General features: G+C 39.6%; 1 protein-coding gene across 4 annotated transcripts in view; it reads right to left on the minus strand.

Moving 5' to 3' along the window:
- Window positions 1–21,245, minus strand: part of CSMD1 (CUB and Sushi multiple domains 1) — a 2,059,554-nt gene that overhangs the window by 350,769 nt on the left and 1,687,540 nt on the right. The window lies entirely within an intron of this gene.

A 21,245-nucleotide genomic window follows, 5' to 3' on the forward strand; every position in this document is an offset into this window, starting at 1 on the left:
TCCATGTCCCTACAAAGGACATGAACTCATACTTCTTTATGGCTGCATAGCATTCCATGGCGTATATGTGCTACAATTTCTTAATCCAGTCTATCATTGTTGGACATTTGGGTTGGTTCCAAGTCTTTGCTATTGTGAATAGTGCCGCTATAAACATACGTGTGCATGTGTCTTTATAGCAGCATGATTTATAATCCTTTGGGTATATACCCAGTAATGGGATGGCTGGGTCAAATGGTATTTCCAGTTCTAGATCCCTGAGGAATGGCCACACTGACTTCCACAATGGTTGAACTAGTTTACAGTCCCACCAAGAGTGTGAAAGTGTTCCTATTTCTCCACATCCTCTCCAGCACCTGTTTTTTCCTGACTTGTTAATGATCGCCATTCTAACTGGTGTGAGATGGTATCTCATTGTGGTTTTGATTTGCATTTCTCTGATGGCCGGTGATAATGAGCATTTTTTCATATGTTTTTTGGCTGCATAAATGTCTTCTTTTGAGAAGTGTCTGTTCATATCCTTCACCCACTTATTGAAGGGGTTGTTTTTTTCTTGTAAATTTGTTAGAGTTCATTGTAGATTCTGGTTATTAGCCCTTTGTCAGATGAGTAGATTGCAAAAATTTTCTCCCATTCTGTAGGTTGAGTGTTGACTCTGATGGTAGTTTCTTGTGCTGTGCAGAAGCTCTTTAGTTTATTTAGATCCCATTTGTCAATTTTGGCTTTTGTTGCCATTGCTTTTGGTGTTTTAGACATGAAGTCCTTGCCCATGCCTATGTCCTGAATGGTATTGCTTAGGTTTTCTTCTAGGGTTTTTATGGTTTTAGTTCTAACATTTAAGTCTTTAATCCATCTTGAATTAATTTTTGTATAAGGTGTAAGGAAGGGATCCAGTTTCAGCTTTCTACATATGGCTAGCCAGTTTTCCCAGCACCATTTATTAAATAGGGAATGCTTTCCCCATTGCTTGTTTTTATCAGGTTTGTCAAAGATCAGATAGTTGTAGATATGCAGCATTATTTCTGAGGGCTCTGTTCTGTTCCATTGGTCTCTATCTCTGTTTTGGTTACTGTAGCCTTGTAGTACAGTTTGAAGTCAGGTAGGGTGATGCCTCCAGCTTTGTTCTTTTGGCTTAGGATTGACTTGGTGATTCGGGCTCTTTTTTGGTTCCATATGAACTTTAAAGTAGTTTTTTCTAATTCTGTGAAGAAAGTCATTGGTAACTTGAAGGGGATGGCATTGAATCTATAAATTACCTTGGGCAGTATGGCCATTTTCACAATATTGATTCTTCCTACCTATGAGCATGGAATGTTCTTCCATTTGTTTGTATCCTCTTTTATTTCCTTGAGCAGTGGTTTGTAGTTCTCCCTGAAGAGGTCCTTCACATCCCTTGTAAGTTGGATTCCTAGGTATTTTATTCTCTTTGAAGCAATTGTGAATGGGAGTTCACTCATGATTTGGCTCTCTGTTTGTCTGTTATTGGCATATGAGAATGCTTGTGATTTTTGCACATTGATTTTGTATCCTGAGACTTTGCTGAAGTTGCCCATCAGCTTAAGGAGATTTGGGGCTGAGACGATGGGGTTTTCTCCATATACAATCACGTCATCTGCCAACAGGGACAATTTGACTTCCTCTTTTCCTAATTGAATACTCTTTATTTCCTCCAGCTGCCTGATTGCCCTGGCCAGAACTTCCAACACTATGTTGAATAGGACTGGTGAGAGAGGGCATCCCTCTCTTGTGCCAGTTTGCAAAGGGAATGCTTCCAGTTTTTGCCTATTCAGTATGATATTGGCTGTGGGTTTGTCATAGATAGCTCTTATTATTTTGAGATACGTCCCATCAATACCTTATTTATTGAGAGTTTTTAGCATGAAAGGTTGTTGAATTTTGTCAAAGGCCTTTTCTGCATCTATTGAGATAATCATGTGGTTTTTGTCTTTGGTTCTGTTTATATGCTGGATTACATTTATCGATTTTCATTTGTTGAACAAGCCATGCATCCCAGGGATGAAGCCCACTTGATCATTGTGGATAAGCTTTTTGATGTATTGCTGGATTTGGTTTGCCAGTATTTTATTGAGGATTTTTGCATCGATGTTCATCAGGGATATTGGTCTAAAGTTCTCTTTTTTTGTTCTTTTTCTGCCAGGCTTTGGTATGAGGATGATGTTGGCCTCATAAAACGAGGGAGGATTCCTTCTTTTTCTATTGATTGGAATAGTTTCAGAAGGAATGGTACCAGCTCCTCCTTGTACCTCTGGTAGAATTCGGCTGTGAATCCATCTGGTCCTGGACTTTTTTTGGTTGGTAAGCTACTGATTATTGCCTCAATTTCAGACCCTGTTATTGGTCTATTCAGAGATTCAACTTCTTCCTGGTTTAGTCTTGGCAGGATGTATGTGTCGAAGAATTTATCCATTTCTTCTAGATTTTCTAGTTTATTTGCATAGAGGTGTTTATAGTATTCTCTGATGGTAGTTTGTATTTCTGTGGGATGGGTGGTGATATCCCTTTTATCATTTTTTATTGTGTCTATTTGATTCTTCTCTCTTTTCTTCTTTATTTTTCTTGATAGCAGTTTATCAATTTTGTTGATCTTTTCAAAAAACCAGCTCCTGGATTCATTGATTTTTTGAAGGGTTTTTCTCTTTTTTATATAGACTAATTCCTATAATTGTATTTCTTTTATTTTATTTTATTATTATACTTTAAGTTTTAGGGTACATGTGCACAACCTACAGGTTTGTTGCATATGTATACATGTGCCATGCTGGTGTGCTACACCCATTAACTCATCATTTAACATTAGGTATATCTCCTAATGCTATCCCTCCCCACTCCCCCTACCCCACAACAGTCCCCGGTGTGTGATGTTCCCCTTCCTGTGTCCGTGTGTTCTCATTGTTCAATTCCCACCTATGAGGGAGAACATGCGGTATTTAGTTTTTTGTCCTTGAGATAGTTTGCTGAGAATGATGGTTTCCAGCTTCATCCATGTCCCTACAAAGCACATGAACTCATCATTTTTTATGGCTGCATAGTATTCCATGGTGTATATGTGCCACATTTTCTTAATCCAGTCTATCGTTGTTGGACATTTAGGTTGGTTCCACGTCTTTGCTATTGTGAATAGTGCCGCTATAAACATACGTGTGCATGTGTCTTTATAGCAGCATGATTTATAATCCTTTGGGTATATACCCAGTAATGGGATGGCTGGGTCAAATGGTATTTCTAGTTCTAGATCCCTGAGGAATCGCCACACTGACTTCACAATGGTTGAACTAGTTTACAGTCCCACCAACAGTGTAAAAGTGTTCCTATTTCTCCATATCCTCTCCAGCACCTGTTTTTTCCTGACTTGTTAATGATCGCCATTCTAACTGGTGTGAGATGGTATCTCATTGTGGTTTTGATTTGCATTTCTCTGATGGCCGGTGATGATGAGCATTTTTTCATGTGTCTTTTGGCTGCATAAATGTCTTCTTTTGAGAAGTGTCTGTTCATATCCTTTGCCCACTTTTTGATGGGGTTGTTTGTTTTTTTCTTGAAAATTTGTTGGAGTTCATTGTAGATTCTGGATATTAGCCCTTTGTCAGATGAGGAGGTTGCAATAATTTTCTCCCATTCTGTAGGTTGCCTGTTCACTCTGATGGTAGTTTCTTTTGCTGTGCAGAAGCTCTTTAGTTTAATTAGATACCATTTGTCAGTTTTGGCTTTTGTTGCCATTGCTTTTGGCATTTTAGACATGAAGTCCTTACCCATGCCTGTGTCCTGAATGGTATTGTTTAGGTTTTCTTCTAGGGTTTTTATAGTATTAGGTCTAACATTTAAGTCTTTAATCCATCTTGAATTAATTTTTGTGTAAGGTGTAAGGAAGGGATCCAGTTTCAGCTTTCTACATATGGCTAGCCAGTTTTCCCAGCACCATTTATTAAATAGGGAATGCTTTCCCCATTGCTTGTTTTTGTCAGGTTTGTCAAAGATCAGATAGTTGTAGATATGCAGCATTATTTCTGAGGGCTCTGTTCTGTTCCATTGGTCTCTATCTCTGTTTTGGTACCAGTACCATGCTGTTTTGGTTACTGTAGCCTTGTAGTGTAGTATGAAGTCAGGTAGCGTGATGCCTCCAGCTTTGTTCTTTTGGCTTAGGATTGACTTGGTGATTTGGGCTCTTTTTTGGTTCCATATGAACTTTAAAGTAGTTTTTTCTAATTCTGTGAAGAAAGTCATTGGTAACTTGAAGGGGATGGCATTGAATCTATAAGTTACCTTGGGCGGTATGGCCATTTTCACAATATTGATTCTTCCTACCTATGAGCATGGAATGTTCTTCCATTTGTTTGTATCCTTTTATTTCCTTGAGCAGTGGTTTGTAGTTCTCCTTGAAGAGGTCCTTCACATCCCTTGTAAGTTGGATTGCTAGGTATTTTGTTCTCTTTGAAGCAATTGTGAATGGGAGTTCACTCATGATTTGGCTCTCTGTTTGTCTGTTATTGGCGTATGAGAATAGTTGTGATTTTTGCACATTGATTTTGTATCCTGAGACTTTGCTGAAGTTGCTTATCAGCTTAAGGAGATTTTGGGCTGAGACAATGGGGTTTTCTAGATATACAATCATGTCATCTGCCAACAGGGACAATTTGACTTCCTCTTTTCCTAATTGAATACTCTTTATTTCTTTCTCGTGCCTAATTGCCCTGGCCGGAACTTCCAACACTATATTGAATAGGAGTGGTGAGAGAGGGCATCCTGGTCTTGTGCCTGTTTTCAAAGGGAATGCTTCCAGTTTTTCCCATTCAGTATGATATTGGCTGTGGGTTTGTCATAGATAGCTCTTATTATTTTGAGATACGTCCCATCAACACCTAATTTTTTGAGAGTTTTTAGCATGAAGGGTTGTTGAATTTTGTCAAAGGCCTTTTCTGCATCTTTTGAGATAATCATGTGGTTTTTGTCGTTGGTTCTGTTTATATGCTAGATTACATTTATTGATTTTCGTATGTTGAAGCAGCCTTGCATCCCAGGGATGAAACCCACTTGATCATTGTGGATAAACTTTTTGATGTATTGCTGGATTCCATTTGCCAGTATTTTATTGAGGATTTTTGCATCGATGTTCATAAGGGATATTGGTCTAAAATTCTCTTTTTTTGTTGTGTCTCTGTCAGGCTTTGCTTTCAGGGTGATGCTGGCCCCATAAAATAAGTTAGGGAGGATTCCCATCTTTTTCTTTTGATTGGAATAATTGAATAAGGATTGGTAGCAGCTCCTTTTTGTACCTCTGGCAGAATTGGACTGTGAATCCATCTGGTCCTCGACTTTTTTTGGTTGGTAAGCTATTGATTATTGCCTCAATTTCAGACCCTGTTATTGGTCTATTCAGAGATTCAACTTCTTCCTGGTTTAGTCTTGGGAGGATGTATGTGTCGAGGAATTTATCCATTTTTTCTAGATATTCTAGTTTATTTGCATAGAGGTGTTTATAGTATTCTCTGATGGTAGTTTGTGTTTCTGTGGGATCGGTGGTGATATTACCTTTATCATTTTTTATTATGTCTATTTGATTCTTCTCTCTTTTCTTCTTTATTTGTCTTGCTAGTGGTTTATCAGTTTTGTTGATCTGTCCAAAAAGTCAGCTCCTGGATTCATTGACTTTTTTAAGGGTTTTTTGCGTCTCTATTTCCTTCAGTTCTGCTCCGATCTTAGTTATTTCTTGCCTTCTGCTAGCTTTTGAATGTGTTTGTTCTTGCTTTTCTAGTTCTTTTAATTGTGATGTTAGGGTGTCAATTTTAGATCTTTCCTGCTTTCTCTTGTGGGCATTTAGTGCTATAAATTTTCCTCTACACACTGCTTTGAATGTGTCCCAGAGATTCTGGTATGTTGTGTCTTTGTTCTCGTTGGTTTCAAAGAACATCTTTATTTCTGCCTTCATTTCATTATTTACTCAGTAGTCATTCAGGAGCAGGTTGTTCAGTTTCCATATAGTTGAGCAGTGTTGAATGAGTTTCTTTATCTTGAGTTCTAGTTTGATTGCACTGTGGTCTGAGAGACAGTTTGTTGTAATTTCTGTTCCTTTACATTTGCTGAGGAGTGCTTTACTTCCAACTATGTGGTCAGTTTTGGAGTAGGTGTGGTGTGGTGCTGAAAAGAATGTATATTTTGTTGATTTGGGGTGGAGAGTTCTGTAGATGTCTATTAGGTCCGCTTGGTGCAGAGCTGAGTTCAATTCCTGGGTATCCTTGTTAACTTTCTGTCTCGTTGATCTGTCTAATGTTGACAGTGGGGTGTTAAAGTCTCCCATTATTATTGTGTGGGTGTCTGAGTCTCTTTGTAGGTGTCTAAGGACTTGCTTCAAGAATCTGCGTGCTCCTGTATTGGGTACATATATATTTAGGAGAGCTAGCTTTTCTTGTTGAATTGATCCCTTTACCATTATGTAATGGCCTTCTTTGTCTCTTTTGATCTTTGTTGGTTTAAAGTCTGTTTTATCAGAGACTAGGATGGCAACCCCTGCCTTTTTTGTTTTCCATTTGCTTGGTAGATCTTCCTCCATCCTTTTATTTTGAGCCTATGTGTGTCTCTGCAAGTTAGATGGGTTTCCTGAATAGAGCACACTGATGGGTCTTGACTTTTTATGCAATTTGCCAGTCTCTGTCTTTTAATTGGAGCATTTAGCCCATTTACATTTAAGGTTAATATTGTTATGTGTGAATTTGATCCTGTCATTATGATGTTAGCTGGTTATTTTGCTCGTTAGTTGATGCAGTTTCTTCCTAGTCTCGATGGTCTTTACATTTTGGCATGATTTTGCAGTGGCTGGTACCGGTTGTTCCTTTCCATGTTTAGTGCTTCCTTCAGGAGGTCTTTTAGGGCAGGCCTGGTGGTGACAAAATCTCTCAGCATTTGCTTGTGTGTAAAGTATTTTATTTCTCCTTCACTTATGAAGCTTAGTTTGGCTGGATATGAAATTCTGGGTTGAAAATTCTTTCTTTTAAGAATGTTGAATATTGCCCCCACTCTCTTCTGGCTTGTAGAGTTTTTGCCGAGAGATCCGCTGTTGGTCTGATGGGCTTCCTTTTGTGGGTAACCGGACCTTTCTCTCTGGCTGCCTTTAACATTTTTTCCTTCATTTCAACTTTGGTGAATCTGACAATTATGTGTCTTTGAGTTGCTCTTCTCGAGGAGTATCTTTGTGGCGTTCTCTGGATTTCCTGAATTTGAATGTTGGCCTGCCTTGCTAGATTGGGGAATTTCTCCTGGTTAATATCCTGCAGAGTGTTTTCCAACTTGGTTCCATTCTCCCTGTCACTTTTAGGTACACCAATCAGACGTAGATTCGGTCTTTTCACATAGTCCCATATTTCTTGGAGGCTTTGTTTGTTTCTTTTTATTCTTTTTTTCTCTAAACTTCTCTTCTTGCTTCATTTCATTCATTTCATCTTCCATCACTGATACCTTGTCTTCCTGTTGATTGTATTGGCTACTGAGGCTTGTGCATTTGTCACGTAGTCCTCGTGCCTTGGTTTTCAGCTACATCAGGTCCTTTAAGGACTTCTGTGCATTGGTTATTCTAGTTAGCCATTCGTTTAATTTTTTTTACAAGGTTTTTAACTTCTTTGCCATGGGTTCAAACTTCCTCCTGTAGCTCAGAGTAGTTTGATCATCTGAAGCCTTCTTCTCTCAACTTGTCAAAGTCATTCTCCATCCAGCTTTGTTCCATTGCTGGTGAGGAGCTGTGTTCCTTTGGAGGAGGAGAGGTGTTCTGATTTTTAGTTTGCAGTTTTTCTGCTCTGTTTTTTCCCCATCTTTGTGGTTTTATCTACCTTTGGTCTTTGATGATGATGACGTACAGATGGGGTTTTGGTGTGGATGTCCTTTCTGTTTGTTAGTTTTCCTTCTAACAGTCAGGACCCTCAGCTGCACATCTGTTGGAGTTTGCTGGAGGTGCACTCCGGACCCTGTTTGCCTGGGTATCAGCAGCAGAGACTGCAGAACAGCAGATGTTGGTGAACAGCAAATGCTGCTGTCTGATCATTCCTCTGGAAGTTTTGTCTCAGAGTACCAGGCCGTGTGAGGTGTCTGTTGGCCCCTACTGGGGGGTGCCTCCCAGTTAGGCTACTCAGGGGTCAGGGACCCCCTTGAGGAGGCAGTCTGTCTGTTCTGAGATCTCAAGCTGTGTGCTGGGAGATCCACTACGCTCTTCAAAGCTGTCAGACAGGGACATTTAAGTCTGCAGAGGTTTCTGCTGCCTTCTGTTGGTCTGTGCCCTGCCTGCAGAGGTGGAGTCTACAGAGGCAGGCAGGCTTCCTTGAGCTGTGGTGGGCTCCACCCAGTTCAAGCTTCTGGGCCGTTTTTTTAGTCATTCAAGCCTTGGCAATGGCGGGCGCCCCTCCCCCAGCCTCGCTGCAGCCTTGCAGTTTGATCTGACTGCTGTGCTAGCAATGAGTGAGGCTCCGTGGGGGTAGGACCCTCTGAGTCATGCACGGGATATAATCTCCTGGTGTGCCGTTTGCTAAGACCATTGGAAAAGCAAGCCCAGTATTAGGGTGGGAGTGACCCGATTTTCCAGGTGCCATCTGTCACCCCTTTCTTTGACTAGGATAGGGAATTCCCTGACCCCTTGCACTTCCTGGGTGAGTTGATGCCTCCCCCTGCTTTGGCTCCCGCTTGGTGGGCTGCACCCATTGTCCTGCACCCACTTTCCGACACTCCCCAGTGAGATGTACCCGGTACCTTAGTTGGAAATGGAGAAATCGCCCGTCTTCTGCGTCATTCATGCTGGGAGCTGTAGACTGGAGCTGTTCCTATTTGGCCATCTTGGCTCCACCCATCCCATTTATATTTTTAGAAGCTTCATATGTGTGTGTATTTGTATTCCTAAACAATATATTGTACTACTCTGTGTGTTTAAGAGTAGTTACATATTAAATATTACTTGACATGTGTGTGCTTGTATCACTTTCAATTTGCTTTTATTTTATTTATTTATTTTATTTTATTTGAGATGGAGTCTTGCTTTGTTGCCCAGGTTGGAGTGCAGTGGTGTGATCTTGGCTCACTGGAAGCTCTGCCACCCGGGTTCATGCCATTCTCCTGCCTCAGCCTCCCGAGTAGCTGGGACTACAGGTGCCCACCACCACACATGGCTAATTTTTTTGTATTTTTTAGTAGACACGGGGTTTCACTGTGTTAGCCAGGAAGGTCTCGATCTCCTGACCTTGTGATCCACCCGCCTCGGCCTCCCAAAGTGCTGGGATTAGAGGTGTGAGCCACTGAGCCCAGCCTCAATTTGCTTTTGTACTATTATGGGAGAGACCGTTATACTGAAAAAAAGGTAGAACTTTGTTAATTTACTTTAAAACTGTAAGTGTTTTATTTTCGTAGTTCCTTACTAAAGGTCAGTTTGTTTCTACATTTTAATTTTGACACGTGGTACCGCACTGTATATTCCACTGTACTGATGCAAGGATCTTTCTAGGCCAGCATGATAAAGCAGATTTGCTAACTCGCTCTCCCTTGGGATTCTAACTGCTTTGGTCCAGGGTAATGTATGTATTGCCCTTGTTTTATTATATCTTTAGGAATACCTGATTACCGTCAGACTAAGAGTTCTACATATATATAGAAAATTTGATGGTTGTGGAATGGTGTCTTGTTTAAATTACTTTCCCTGATCACTCATAAAGTTGATCATCATTTTGCATCTATAAGACGTTCCCTTTTTGATTTAGTTCAATAATTCAACATTTACTCGGCACCAAGAGTGTACTGAGTGCACCTCGAGGAACTTTGCATACATCTGCCAAGTTGAGTCCTGCCTTCGTGGAGTTCGTGTTGTACAGGGAAGAGATAGGCAAACCACAGCATCCACAATAATACAGGGAAGAGACAGGCAGTCCACAGCACCCATAACAAATGAGTGAAGAATATGGAATGTTAGTAGGTGGTAAATGCAATTGAAGAAATAAAAAAGTAGACAGGAAAAGAATCACTGGGATACTAATTCTTAGGGGAGGAAGGGGAAGCCTGAAGTATTAAATGGGGTGGTTAGGCTAAGCCATCTTGGCAGAGGCAGATTTTGGTGCAGCCTTGAAGGAGTTAAGGGTGTTTGTCGCATCCTGTGAGACGTAAGAATTCAGCCAAGCAGAAGCCCCACGTAAGGGGCATACCGTCCGCATTTGAGGACAGCCAGGAGCCAGTGCAGCAAGAACAGAGGAAGGGGGACTGGGAAGGAAGAGCTGAGAGCAGAGAAGAATGGGGGTTGTGAATTGGATGGTGGGAGAGAGGTGCCTACGCACAGAGGGCTTTGTAGGCTGTTTTAAGGATGATACACCGATGCGGGATTTTAAGGATGATATACCAAGGCAGGAGTCCTCACCAACAATTTAAAGAACTGGCCGTGCTTGCTTGCTCTGTTGACAACATGCCATGGAGGGAAAATGACACTCTGTCAACGTTTTGAGTAATCCAAGAAAGTGGCGTATGTGCTGAGATGAGCTGAATATGGAGGTACCCAGGCACTGGTCAGGTCCTGGATACGTTTTGAAGGGAGAGAAAACAGGCTTGGAAGAGGTGTGCGTGAGGTGAGGATGTGCTGGCCCTGTAGGTTTGTCCCTCAGAAACTGGAAAAGTGGAGTTGTCATCCAGTGAACTGAGAAACGGTGCAGTATGTTTATGGGATGGGGAAAATCAGAGTTTCTGTCTTGGACCTGTTGAGTTTAAGTTGTCAACTAGACATAGATGGAGGGGTATGTAGGTAGCTGTTCACGTAAGTTGGAGTTTCAGAGAGAAGTCAGAGTGGAGAAAATAAACATGTATGTCTTCAACAAAGAAATAGTTTATAAACTATAGGACTGGATGAAATCTTCGAAGTTCTTAGGTGGAGAATAGAAGAGGACTATGGATTCTGAAGTACCTGGTCACATATGTTTGCCATTAAGCAGAAAGCATCCTAGAGCTGGAAATAATTCTAATAAAAAATGTGCAGGACTTTCACCCAGAAAACTGCAAAACATCATTGAGACAAATCATACAAAAGCTAAATAAATGGAGAGGTATACAATATCAAGGACCAGAAAGTTCAGTATTATAAAAGATGTCAGTTTTCCCCAGAATGATCTATTGATGTCATGGGATATCAATAAAAATCCAGGCAATTTCTTTTGTAAAAAATTAAGAGTGTTTCTGAAATTCATATGGAAGTGCAGAAGGCCAAGAATAGTCACAGTGATCTATATGAAGAAGAACAAAGCTAGATTATGATACTGGGTATCAAGATGTATTATAAAGTAAATCAGGAATTAAGTTAGGTTTTGTACTAGATAAGCAAATAGATAAATGAAATGGAATACAGTTTGGAAACAGATCTGCATAGATCTAGTTGTCTCGTTAATTACTAATTTGTACTATAGTGCAATAAAGAAATAAATCACTTCAGCAAATTGTCAATTGAACTTAACTGTGGACAAAAATCTGTGACACTTCAGTCTCCATACTGTACACAAAAATTTATCCCCAGTGGAATAGAGATGTAAATGTGAAAGGTAAATTAAGTTTTGTAGAAGAAAACCTAAGATAATATTTGTATAGCTTTGGGGAGGGAGGAGCTAGCAATCTGGACACAAAATCACTAAAGCCAACCTTAACAAAGTTTGTGGCATAGCATACATTTAAATATAGTTTAAAAATTTGCTAACCGTAAAGAAAAAAAATGAGTAAAAATTATTATGACTCATTGGAATTAAAAACCTGTGTTTATCAAAAGAAATCATTTCAGTATAAAAAAATGGGCAAAAGGCTTCAACTGGCAATTAGTAAAAGAGGATATTCAAAAGGCCAATAAACATATAAAAAAGTGTTTACCTTGATCAGTCGTCAGGGAAATGCAAATAAAAAGGTACCACACCCCCAGTAGAATGGCTAAAATGAAAAAACAATCAATCCCATTGTTGGTTAGAAAGTGAAGTTCCTGAAATTCTCTCATATACACCCTCTCAGGGAGTGAGGGTAAGAATAACCACTTTGGAAAACTGATAGCACCTAATACTGTGGAAGGTAGGATTCACCATTACCCAGCAATTCCTGGCCTCAGTGTATACCCATGGAAAAAGCATACATACATTCACCAGGTAACATGTCAAAGCATATTAAAAGCAGCACAGTTTGCATTAACTCCAAACTGCATCAGAACCATCCAAATGTCCATCAGCACCCAGAATGGATAAATAAATTATATCAGGAAATATCTAACGGTATCAATGGGTGTGAAGATTGAGGAAATGAAGTGAGACACATAATTAATAAAACTGTACAATCTCTCTCTCTCTTTTTTAGACAGAGTCTTGATCTGTTGACCAGGCTGGAGTGCAATGGAATGATCGTGGCTCACTGCAACCTCTGCCTCCCAGGCTCAAGCAATTCTTCTGCCTCAGCCTCCCGAGTAGCTGGGATTATAGGCGTGTGCCAACACAACTTGCTTATTTTTTAATTTTTAATAGAGACGGAGTTTCACCATGTTGATCAGGTTGGTCTTGAACTCCTGATCTCAGGTAATCTGCCCGCCTCAGCCTCCCAAAGTGCTAGGATTACAGGCGTAAGCCATCGTGCCCGACAATTATCTTTTACATAAAATTCAAATTTGGCAAAACTCTTCTGAAGTCTTAATAGTGATTGTCCTGGAGAAGAGACAATTTGAATAGAGCTCAAAGGTCTATCCTGAGTCCAGATAATTTTCCCTTTCTTTATCTGAGTTCTGGTTACATGGGGGTGTTTCTTTTGTGAACAAGCCACATGGCAGTTTTTATGCTATATGCTAATGAGAAGCTTACACAGAAAAACAAACATGCACCCTGGTACCATGGAGTTTTGCCATCTTGGAAAATGTCTCATGACTCCAACAAAAAATATGATACAACAAAACTTAAATGTAGGTAAGTGTCAGTCATTTTTTATTCAAATGTAAAATTGTTAAAAGTCAAAATGCCAGACACAATTCCACTAGGTAAAGGAAGTTAAAAAAAATGGAGTGAAGCCAGGTATGGTGGCTCACGCCTGTAATCCCAGTATTTTGGGAGGCCGAGGTGGGTGGATCGCCTGAGGTCAGGAGTTCGAGACCAGCCTGGCCAATATGGGGAAACCCTGTCTCTACTAAAAATATAAAAATCAGCTGGGCATGGTGGCAGACACCTGTAATCCCAGCTACTCAGGAGGCTCAGGCAGGAGCATTGCTTGAACTCTGGAGGTGGAGGTTGCAGTGAGCCAAGATCACGCTATTGCACTCCAGCCTGGGGGACAAGAGCAACACTTTGTCTCAAAAAAAAAGGAATGCAATGTGGTATCATCGCTAAGGAACTCTGTGATATCAGATACAGGCACGTGAGGAAAAGCACACATCCTCCAACGCACAGTGTCCCAAGGTCTGGCAGATAAAAGCACGCCACCATACAGCGGACATAGGTGTAATTCTGCCTCACAAAGTGTGGGAAGGCTCTTGTCCAGCCAAGAGAAAGCAGGAAAGGAATCCAGGGAAAGGAGAGAACCGGAAATGCAGGTGGGAGGTGAAGTGCACAGAGAAGAGGAAGTCACTAACCAAATGTATTCACATGTCAAAAAAGTCAACATAGGAAAGGTATAAACAGATATAACCAATAAAATGTTTGGAATATTTTTTTTCTGGACAGATTGTTAAGGACTGAAAAGCCTTTGTCCAGTTTCAGAGAGAATGTAGAGACGCCCAATTTCTATGTACTGCTGGTGGTATATCTACTCCTTTTAGAGGCAATTTGGTAATGGCTATAAAAATTGAAATGTGCAAACATAGCAAATGCAGCTCTAGAAATTCATCATGAAAAGTGCCCTGGAGGTGACACACGGGGAGGATGGTAGCATTACTTACAACAGTGAAAAAATTAAAAACAACCTGAATATTCCAAAAGGGTGTAGTTTAAATAAATTAAGGCACATTCAGGCAATGGAATACTATCCGGTAACTAAATAGGATGAGGCAAAATTACAAATTTGGATGTAAACATTTGGCCATGTTTATTAACTCAAAATAAATGTTCAGAATAACATGGCGTAAAAAATAATTAAATAAAAAGATAAATGAACATATCACATTTTATGTTTGTATTTGCATAGAAAAAATTTTAAAAAGCTATATCACCTTTTCAAGTGTAGTTTTCTTTGGTGTTTAAGATTACAGAAAACTACATTTAGGGGTTTTTTTTTCTGCAGCACTTTATTATTTTAAAATTAAGAAAAATAATTAACCATAAACCATGCCAAAGAGCTTATCCTGCACATAATGAGTGGACAAAATAGTTTTTGTTTTTATAGCAAGCTCAGGCGAGTGAAATGACTGACTCTGCTTTATAGAAAGACTTGTACTAAGACATATGAGGATGCTCACACCCTTTGACCCAGCAAACAAATTTCCTAGGCATTTATTCTAAGGAATTATATAAATATAAGCAAAGATTTACTTACAAGACTACTTGTCACATCATTATGTACAACATGAAAAATTAGAAATGGCCAGGCCTGGTGGCTCACGCTTCTAATCCCAGTGCTTTGGGAGGACGAGGCGGGCAGATCATTGGAGGTCAGGAGTTTGAGACTAGCCTGGCAACAGGGCGAAACCCCGTGTCTACTAAAAATACAAAAAAAATTAGCTGGGTGTGGTGGCACATGCATGTAATCCCAGCTACTCAGGACACTGAGGCAGGAGAATTGCTTGAACCCAGGAGGCTGAGGTTGCAGTGAGCCAGGATTGCGCCACCGCACTCCAGCCTGGACAACAGAGTGAGACTCTGTCTCAAAAAAAAAAAAAAAAAAAAAAAGAGAAAGAAAAATTAGAAATGGTATAAACAAGCAACAAGAGAGACAATGTTTAATGGTACATGTCCACACCACACAATATACATTGATACGTATAAGACATTTGCCATTGATGTCTATAGGGGAATAATACATGATTTCTTCAATTGTTTTTTTTTAATTTTTTCAAAATCTATATAGACATTAGTTTTATAGACATAAACATAAATTTTTAAAATAAAACAAACCATATTGTTTGGGGTAGGAGCAGTGGGTGCAAGGCAGCGTTTGCAGGGTGGTCAGTGGAAACCTGGTGAGTTAGGAGGGTCTACCCAGCGAAGGAACCAGGTGGTGGGCAGGGAGGAGAGTTTGGGAGGCTTCAGATGGGGTCTAAATGAGAAATGAAGCTCACAGAAGTGTGGGAGCTAGTGAAACTTGCCCTGGAGGTCTTGACATGTGGATATGATATTAACAGAGATTATTAGTACAGAAGGAAGGTAACTGATGAAGAGAAATGATGAGATCAGGGAACAACACAGAATATTTCTGGATGGGATAATAAAAATGAATTTTTGCTGAGCCCTAAGAGATGGGAAGAAACTGGAGGTGAGTCAATGAGGAGAAACTCAAGACAGTGTGTGTAAAGAGAGCACCACAGTAGCACAGGCTATGATCAGAGATCAGTCAAGCTTTCTTTGTCCTGAAGTCGAAAGTATCCATGAGCAGCCAAAGATACACCTGGAAAGCCGCACTAAGCCAAATTCTAGAGGGTATTATGGTTCTGGGTAAGGAGCTGGTGCTTGTCAACGTACAGTGAGGGTATTTGAGAGATTGGAGAGAATAAAGGATGGATTTGGGAAGGTCAGTTGAGAGAAGACTAAAGTAACAGGAAAGTCATGGGAATTCATAATGGTGGATAAGAAGAAAGGAAACATAAAGAGATGGAGAAATGACAGGGCTTTGTTTTCAGATTCTATGCACTTTTTTTTCAGTGTCTCGTCTAAAGAAATCTCATATAATTTATCAAAAGAATTCCATGAGCTGTACAGTCCTATTTTCATTGTTTTAGGTGGGAAATTATTGGATATTGAGGGAGGAGAAATAAGCAACAGCAGAGCATAACACTGAAGACTAAAGTCTCCCGCCCCTTGGAGGGAGACAGTAACACAAATAGGGAATGATGACAATAATGATGAAATAATGATGAAATGTGAGGAGTTGGGAACACGTGATGAGCTCTGAGGAGAGATGTCAGGGAAGTTTGGATCAGCTTCCACCATTTTATCTCTTGTGCTTTTCAGATCCTGAAATAACTCTAGAAGTTTCTTTAATGTTTTTTTCTGGAGTCACTTCTTCTGGAATATCTCCATCGTTCTCATCACAGCATCTCCTCCCTTACACTCCTACGTCCTTCTTGGCTGAGTTTCCCTGGCTGCCTATCTAAGGTCTCTCCGCACAGCAGTGGCAATGTTCCCACCTCAGCTATTTCTCCTGTAATTCCATTTATGTGTGATTTGAGTTTCACTTCCCATGATATCACTTCTCATTTCTTCCCTGCATGTCTATCTTTTCTGGGCAATTCCTTCTTTGCAATTCCCGTTTTTTAAGACATCAAGTGCACTGATCACTGGGAGCAAAGAAGACAACACAACTACCCTCTTTGCTGTCTGAGAATGCACTGAATAGCAGGCACCCTGTGAGCAGTCACCAGCAGATGTTGAAAGAGGAGATGTGATCTGTCACCAGTGATGATGATGTGCCTCGTTATCCATATAGTGATGTAGGAACTGAAGAGCTCAGAATTTGTCCTTCATGCACTTTCTCACAGTTTATGTACCATGGCAGCTGAAATGTGAGTGGTATGGTTGGGAGCTGGTGTTATTTAACTAATCTGTGGCAACTGAAAATATGAGTCAGAACTTTGCAAAGTGAGTGGGGTTGCAGGTTTCTTTCCTCTGACTCAGGCTCTCCTACATGTCTGGTAAGGTCACCCATGACCAGCAACTGCTCCCAGAGCCCCAGGTTAAAGGGGGTCTGGAGTAGCAGCCATAGGCATAGGGAAAAACTGTAGACTTCTATAACTCTTTTACTTCATGGCTGAAATTACTTAAATTGTTATTTCTTTGTATTGTCTATGAAAACTAAGGGAAGGGTCTATAGTGATGTTGATAGGAATGGAGAAATTGGACATGCTTTTATTCCTGAGTGGCCTCATACCTTTCTGTCCTGTCAGGAAAATTCTCCAACCCATGGTCTATGTACAGAGGCTGGACATGGAGACTGGGGATAAATGTATAGTTTTCTCTTAAGTGTATTTCCTACTGGGATCTGGAAGGTTGATCAGAAATGGATTAATATTCCTAGATCTCCAGTGCAATTTCACTCTAATCTCTCTAAAAGCTGATGCCACTAGAAAGAAAATCCAGGTCAGGACAGCCAGCAGAACACCAGGGTCGTCAAACCACATGTTACCTTTTCTAAAAGTCTGCATAGGAATGCTTTTGACAACCTTGATACCTTTTTGATATGCGTCCAATGTTTTTCATACTGTGCGAGCTTATTAAAAATAATTCCCTTCAACTATACTACCAAATGCAATTTTCTGCTAACAATTAGGAACAGAAGTACATTCAAAGTGAGCTTTCCAGACAATTACACTGGCAGAAAAGCAATTAAAGCTTAGGAACAGTGTACACATATGGTTATGTAAAACATAGCCTTTAATGTTGCTAGCTGAAGAAGTTTATAATGCTGTTACTTTTGTTACATAAAGCAAAGCATGGCTGTGCCCAGCAATGAAATATGCTGGATCTCTTAGAGAAATATTACCAAATAACTTTCAATGGGGCTAAATTTTCTACAATGTCTTGTGATTAGACTTTTAATTAAATTTGGCTCAGGTAACTGCTCTATAGCATACATGTTAAAATTAGAAATTCTTCCAGACCCAAGTGCCCCATAATAATAACTATTTTGGGGTATTGCGCCCCATTATAATAACTATTTTGGGGTATTCGATTACCTCAAACAAAGAGGAATAGCACTATATAAGCAGAAGTTGCTCTGGGCCTCAATGAAATCAATGTAGCTCTGCAATAATTGGCCTAAAGTAAAATATTGAAACCAGCCTTTTCATATTTTCCAAGATCCGGCTGTTTATTCATTCCTTGAGAGTGAAAAATATTTACATTAAGATATCATAGTATAAATGCATAGTAATGATTACATTTATATTAAGATATTTTAAAGAGCTAAATTAATCCCTGTGTTCATATTTATATGACTGATGTATTTCTCATTTTCAAGTTAACATTGTAGGTAATACAGACTATGTTACCATTGAAATAAATAAGACTTAGTAACCATGCAAGCTAATATCAAGGCTAAGACCAGACACCATTTTTTCTGAGTATTAGTACAATTTTAAGTACATGATATACAATTTTAGTATATTATGTACTTCTAATTATGGTTTTGCCAGATCACCATACTAAAAATTGCATTTATGTTATTCATGAAGAGTGGTTCAATCATCAAAAACATTTTGGGATTAAGTTGATTGTCAATTGAGGAAATTAAGGATAAACATGGATGGCTACCCTCTTAAGCTGCTTATTGGGAAGAAGTTTATGCTTTAAATTTAATAGATGTATTTATAAATTTGATAGTGTGTACCTCATATTGAAATATACGTATACGAAGAAAATTTTTCAAGGTCAGTTCATGCAATAAAAACTGCACGTTTTTATTCAAATATTTTTTTATTTTTCTCTTTTTAATTTTTTTTATTAAAATGTTAACAAAGTATTAGATTCACCTGTAAAGAGTGAATCCATGACTTGGTTTGCATTTAGAGAAAGACAATGCTCACTCTAATTAATTCCAGTAAATTAAGCCACAAAGGAAATTTTAAGAAAAACAAAAATGTGAAATTCTTCTAAAAGAAGATAAATTATTTTTATATAAAGTCATTCCATTAGCATAGATGATTTCTACAACTTTTCAAAATCAAAGCCATTGGAAGTGGTTTTTACATTACTCAAATCTAGCATTTGTGAATTCAAAGTTAAGGACTAATATTTAATTTAATTAATTTATTTACTTAAGACTGCAGTGGTGTGATCATAGCTTACTTCAGCCTTGACCAACTGGGCTCAAGACATCCTCTTGCTTCATCCCCTCAAAGAAAGTGCTGGGATGACAGGTGTGAGCCGCTATGCCTGGCCTATTTATTTCCATAGAAACATGCCTTCATAGATTTTCATGAGGAATATGAAATATTAAATTCTGTTACTCAGCTATAACTTAGTGTTGTCCCAACAGATCAATAATCATCAAATTAATCATTTATCTTGATTAATTTTAAAATGAGTTATTATAAAATAGTATGTGCTATGGTTTTACTGTCTCCACCAAAACTCATGTTGAAATTTAATTGCCATTGTAGCCATATTGAAAGTGGGAGCCCTTATGAGGTGATTAGGTCATAAGGGCTGGGCCCTCATGAAGGGATTAATGCTGTTATCATGGGAGTGGGTTAGCTATAGTGGGAGGGAGCCCCTGATAAAAGGTTAAGCTTGGCCCCATTTCCTCTCTGTCTCTAGTGTACTTCCTTGCTATGTGATGCTCTCACCATGTGGACTCATCATCTGCCAATGCCATGCCCTTGGACTTCCCATCCTCCAGAACTGTTAAGAAACTAAACTTCTTAACTTACTAAGTCTGTAATATTCTTTTTCTTGAGACACAGTCTCACTGTTGCCCAGGTTGGAGTACAGTGGCACGATCTCAGCTCACTGCAGGCTCCACCTCCTGGGTTCACACCATTCTCCTGCCTCAGCCTCCCGAGTAGCTGGGACTACAGGTGCCTGCCACCACGTGTGGCTAATTTTTTTGTATTTTTAGTAGAGAAGGGGTTTCACCATGTTAGCCAGGATGATCTTGATCTCCTCACCTGGTGATTTGCCTGCCTTGGCCTCCCAAGGTGCTGGGATTACAGGCATGAGCCACTGCACCCGGCCCCACAGTCTGTAATATTCTATTGTAGCAGCAGAAACACCATCCTAAGATGTTTGCATTCTAGATATGCTTTAATTGTTGTTCTTGCTCCTTTTATGTAGGGAGAACCTTTCTCATGTAGGGTGTATAATATGCATTTTCCTCACTCCACTTCATCCCATTTTATTTTTGTTAAGTTATAGGGTTGCAGTGAAGTAAGTGTATGATATCTATGTGTAATACACATTACTAAGCTTGATAGGGTGGCTTTTCTGAATAAGGACAAAAATCATTTGTTTATAAATATTTTTCATCCTTCCACATCTTCTGCCTCAGTATCCTGAGTAGCTGGGATTACAGGTGTGTGCCACCATGCCCAGATGCTTTTTGTATTTTTAGTGGTGATGGAGTTTTGCCATGCTGGCCAGGCTGATCTCGAACTACTGATCTTAAGTGATCCACCCACCTCGGCCTCCCAAAGTGTTAGGCATGAGCCACTGTGCCCAGCCTGACTTTGACCTGTAACTTTTTTTCAGCTTCACGTATGTGTAGGAGGAGCTGAAGCAGCTGGGCTGATTCATTTAGTCTTTTGTGGGTATAATAGCATGATGGAGTGTAGACGCCTGGGACATGCAGATTAAGGCTATTGGAGGTCAGAGTTTCTCAAAAGCAAATTTTGTACAGAAAATTAATAACAACAATGAAACAGAAAGGTTAATTGAAGGAAAAATACATTTTAAAAAGGATTGGTTAGGACTGTGTGTCCACTTCATTTTAAACAAGAACTAAAAATAAAACTGATTTTAAAATTACCTTTTGCCTTATGTGCTATGGTTTTGGAGACAGATTTCTGAGTAGATCACCAAGAGCTTACTTTAAAAATATTACAGAGCTTACTTTAAAAATATTACTTTTTGTTGGTTTAAATAACTCATCATCATAACTCAGAACTCACTATTGGAATAGAACACTTTTTGTTTAAATGTTCACATCATTTTCTGAAATTTGCAATGATTTTCTTTTATATGTGTTACTTTAGAGTACTTTCTTGGTCTACCTCAAAGTTACTTTGGTATAATTGCAAAATGACACACATTGCTCCCATCCCTGCACACAAGTCTTTTTAAAATATGACTTTGCTTCTCTTCCTATTAAAAGAACAGTAGAGTGTATTTCTTCATATCTTGAGTCTTGCCTAGCCCATGAGACTTGCTTTGACAAAGGGCACCTTAGCAAGTGTAATGTAAGCACAAGTTGGAAATTTGTTCATCCCTTGCTGCTACAACCCTCCCACCGTGACTAGCCTGCTGCAGGAACAGAAGCCTGGTGTGCAGGGGCTCCTGCTTTCCCAACCATCCCAGCTGAGGCCCTCACACCTAAGGAAGGTCATCCTGGACTGCTCATCCCCAGGCAGTCTC

Source organism: Homo sapiens, chromosome 8, assembly GCF_000001405.40.
Source record: "Homo sapiens chromosome 8, GRCh38.p14 Primary Assembly".
NCBI lineage: Eukaryota > Metazoa > Chordata > Mammalia > Primates > Hominidae > Homo > Homo sapiens.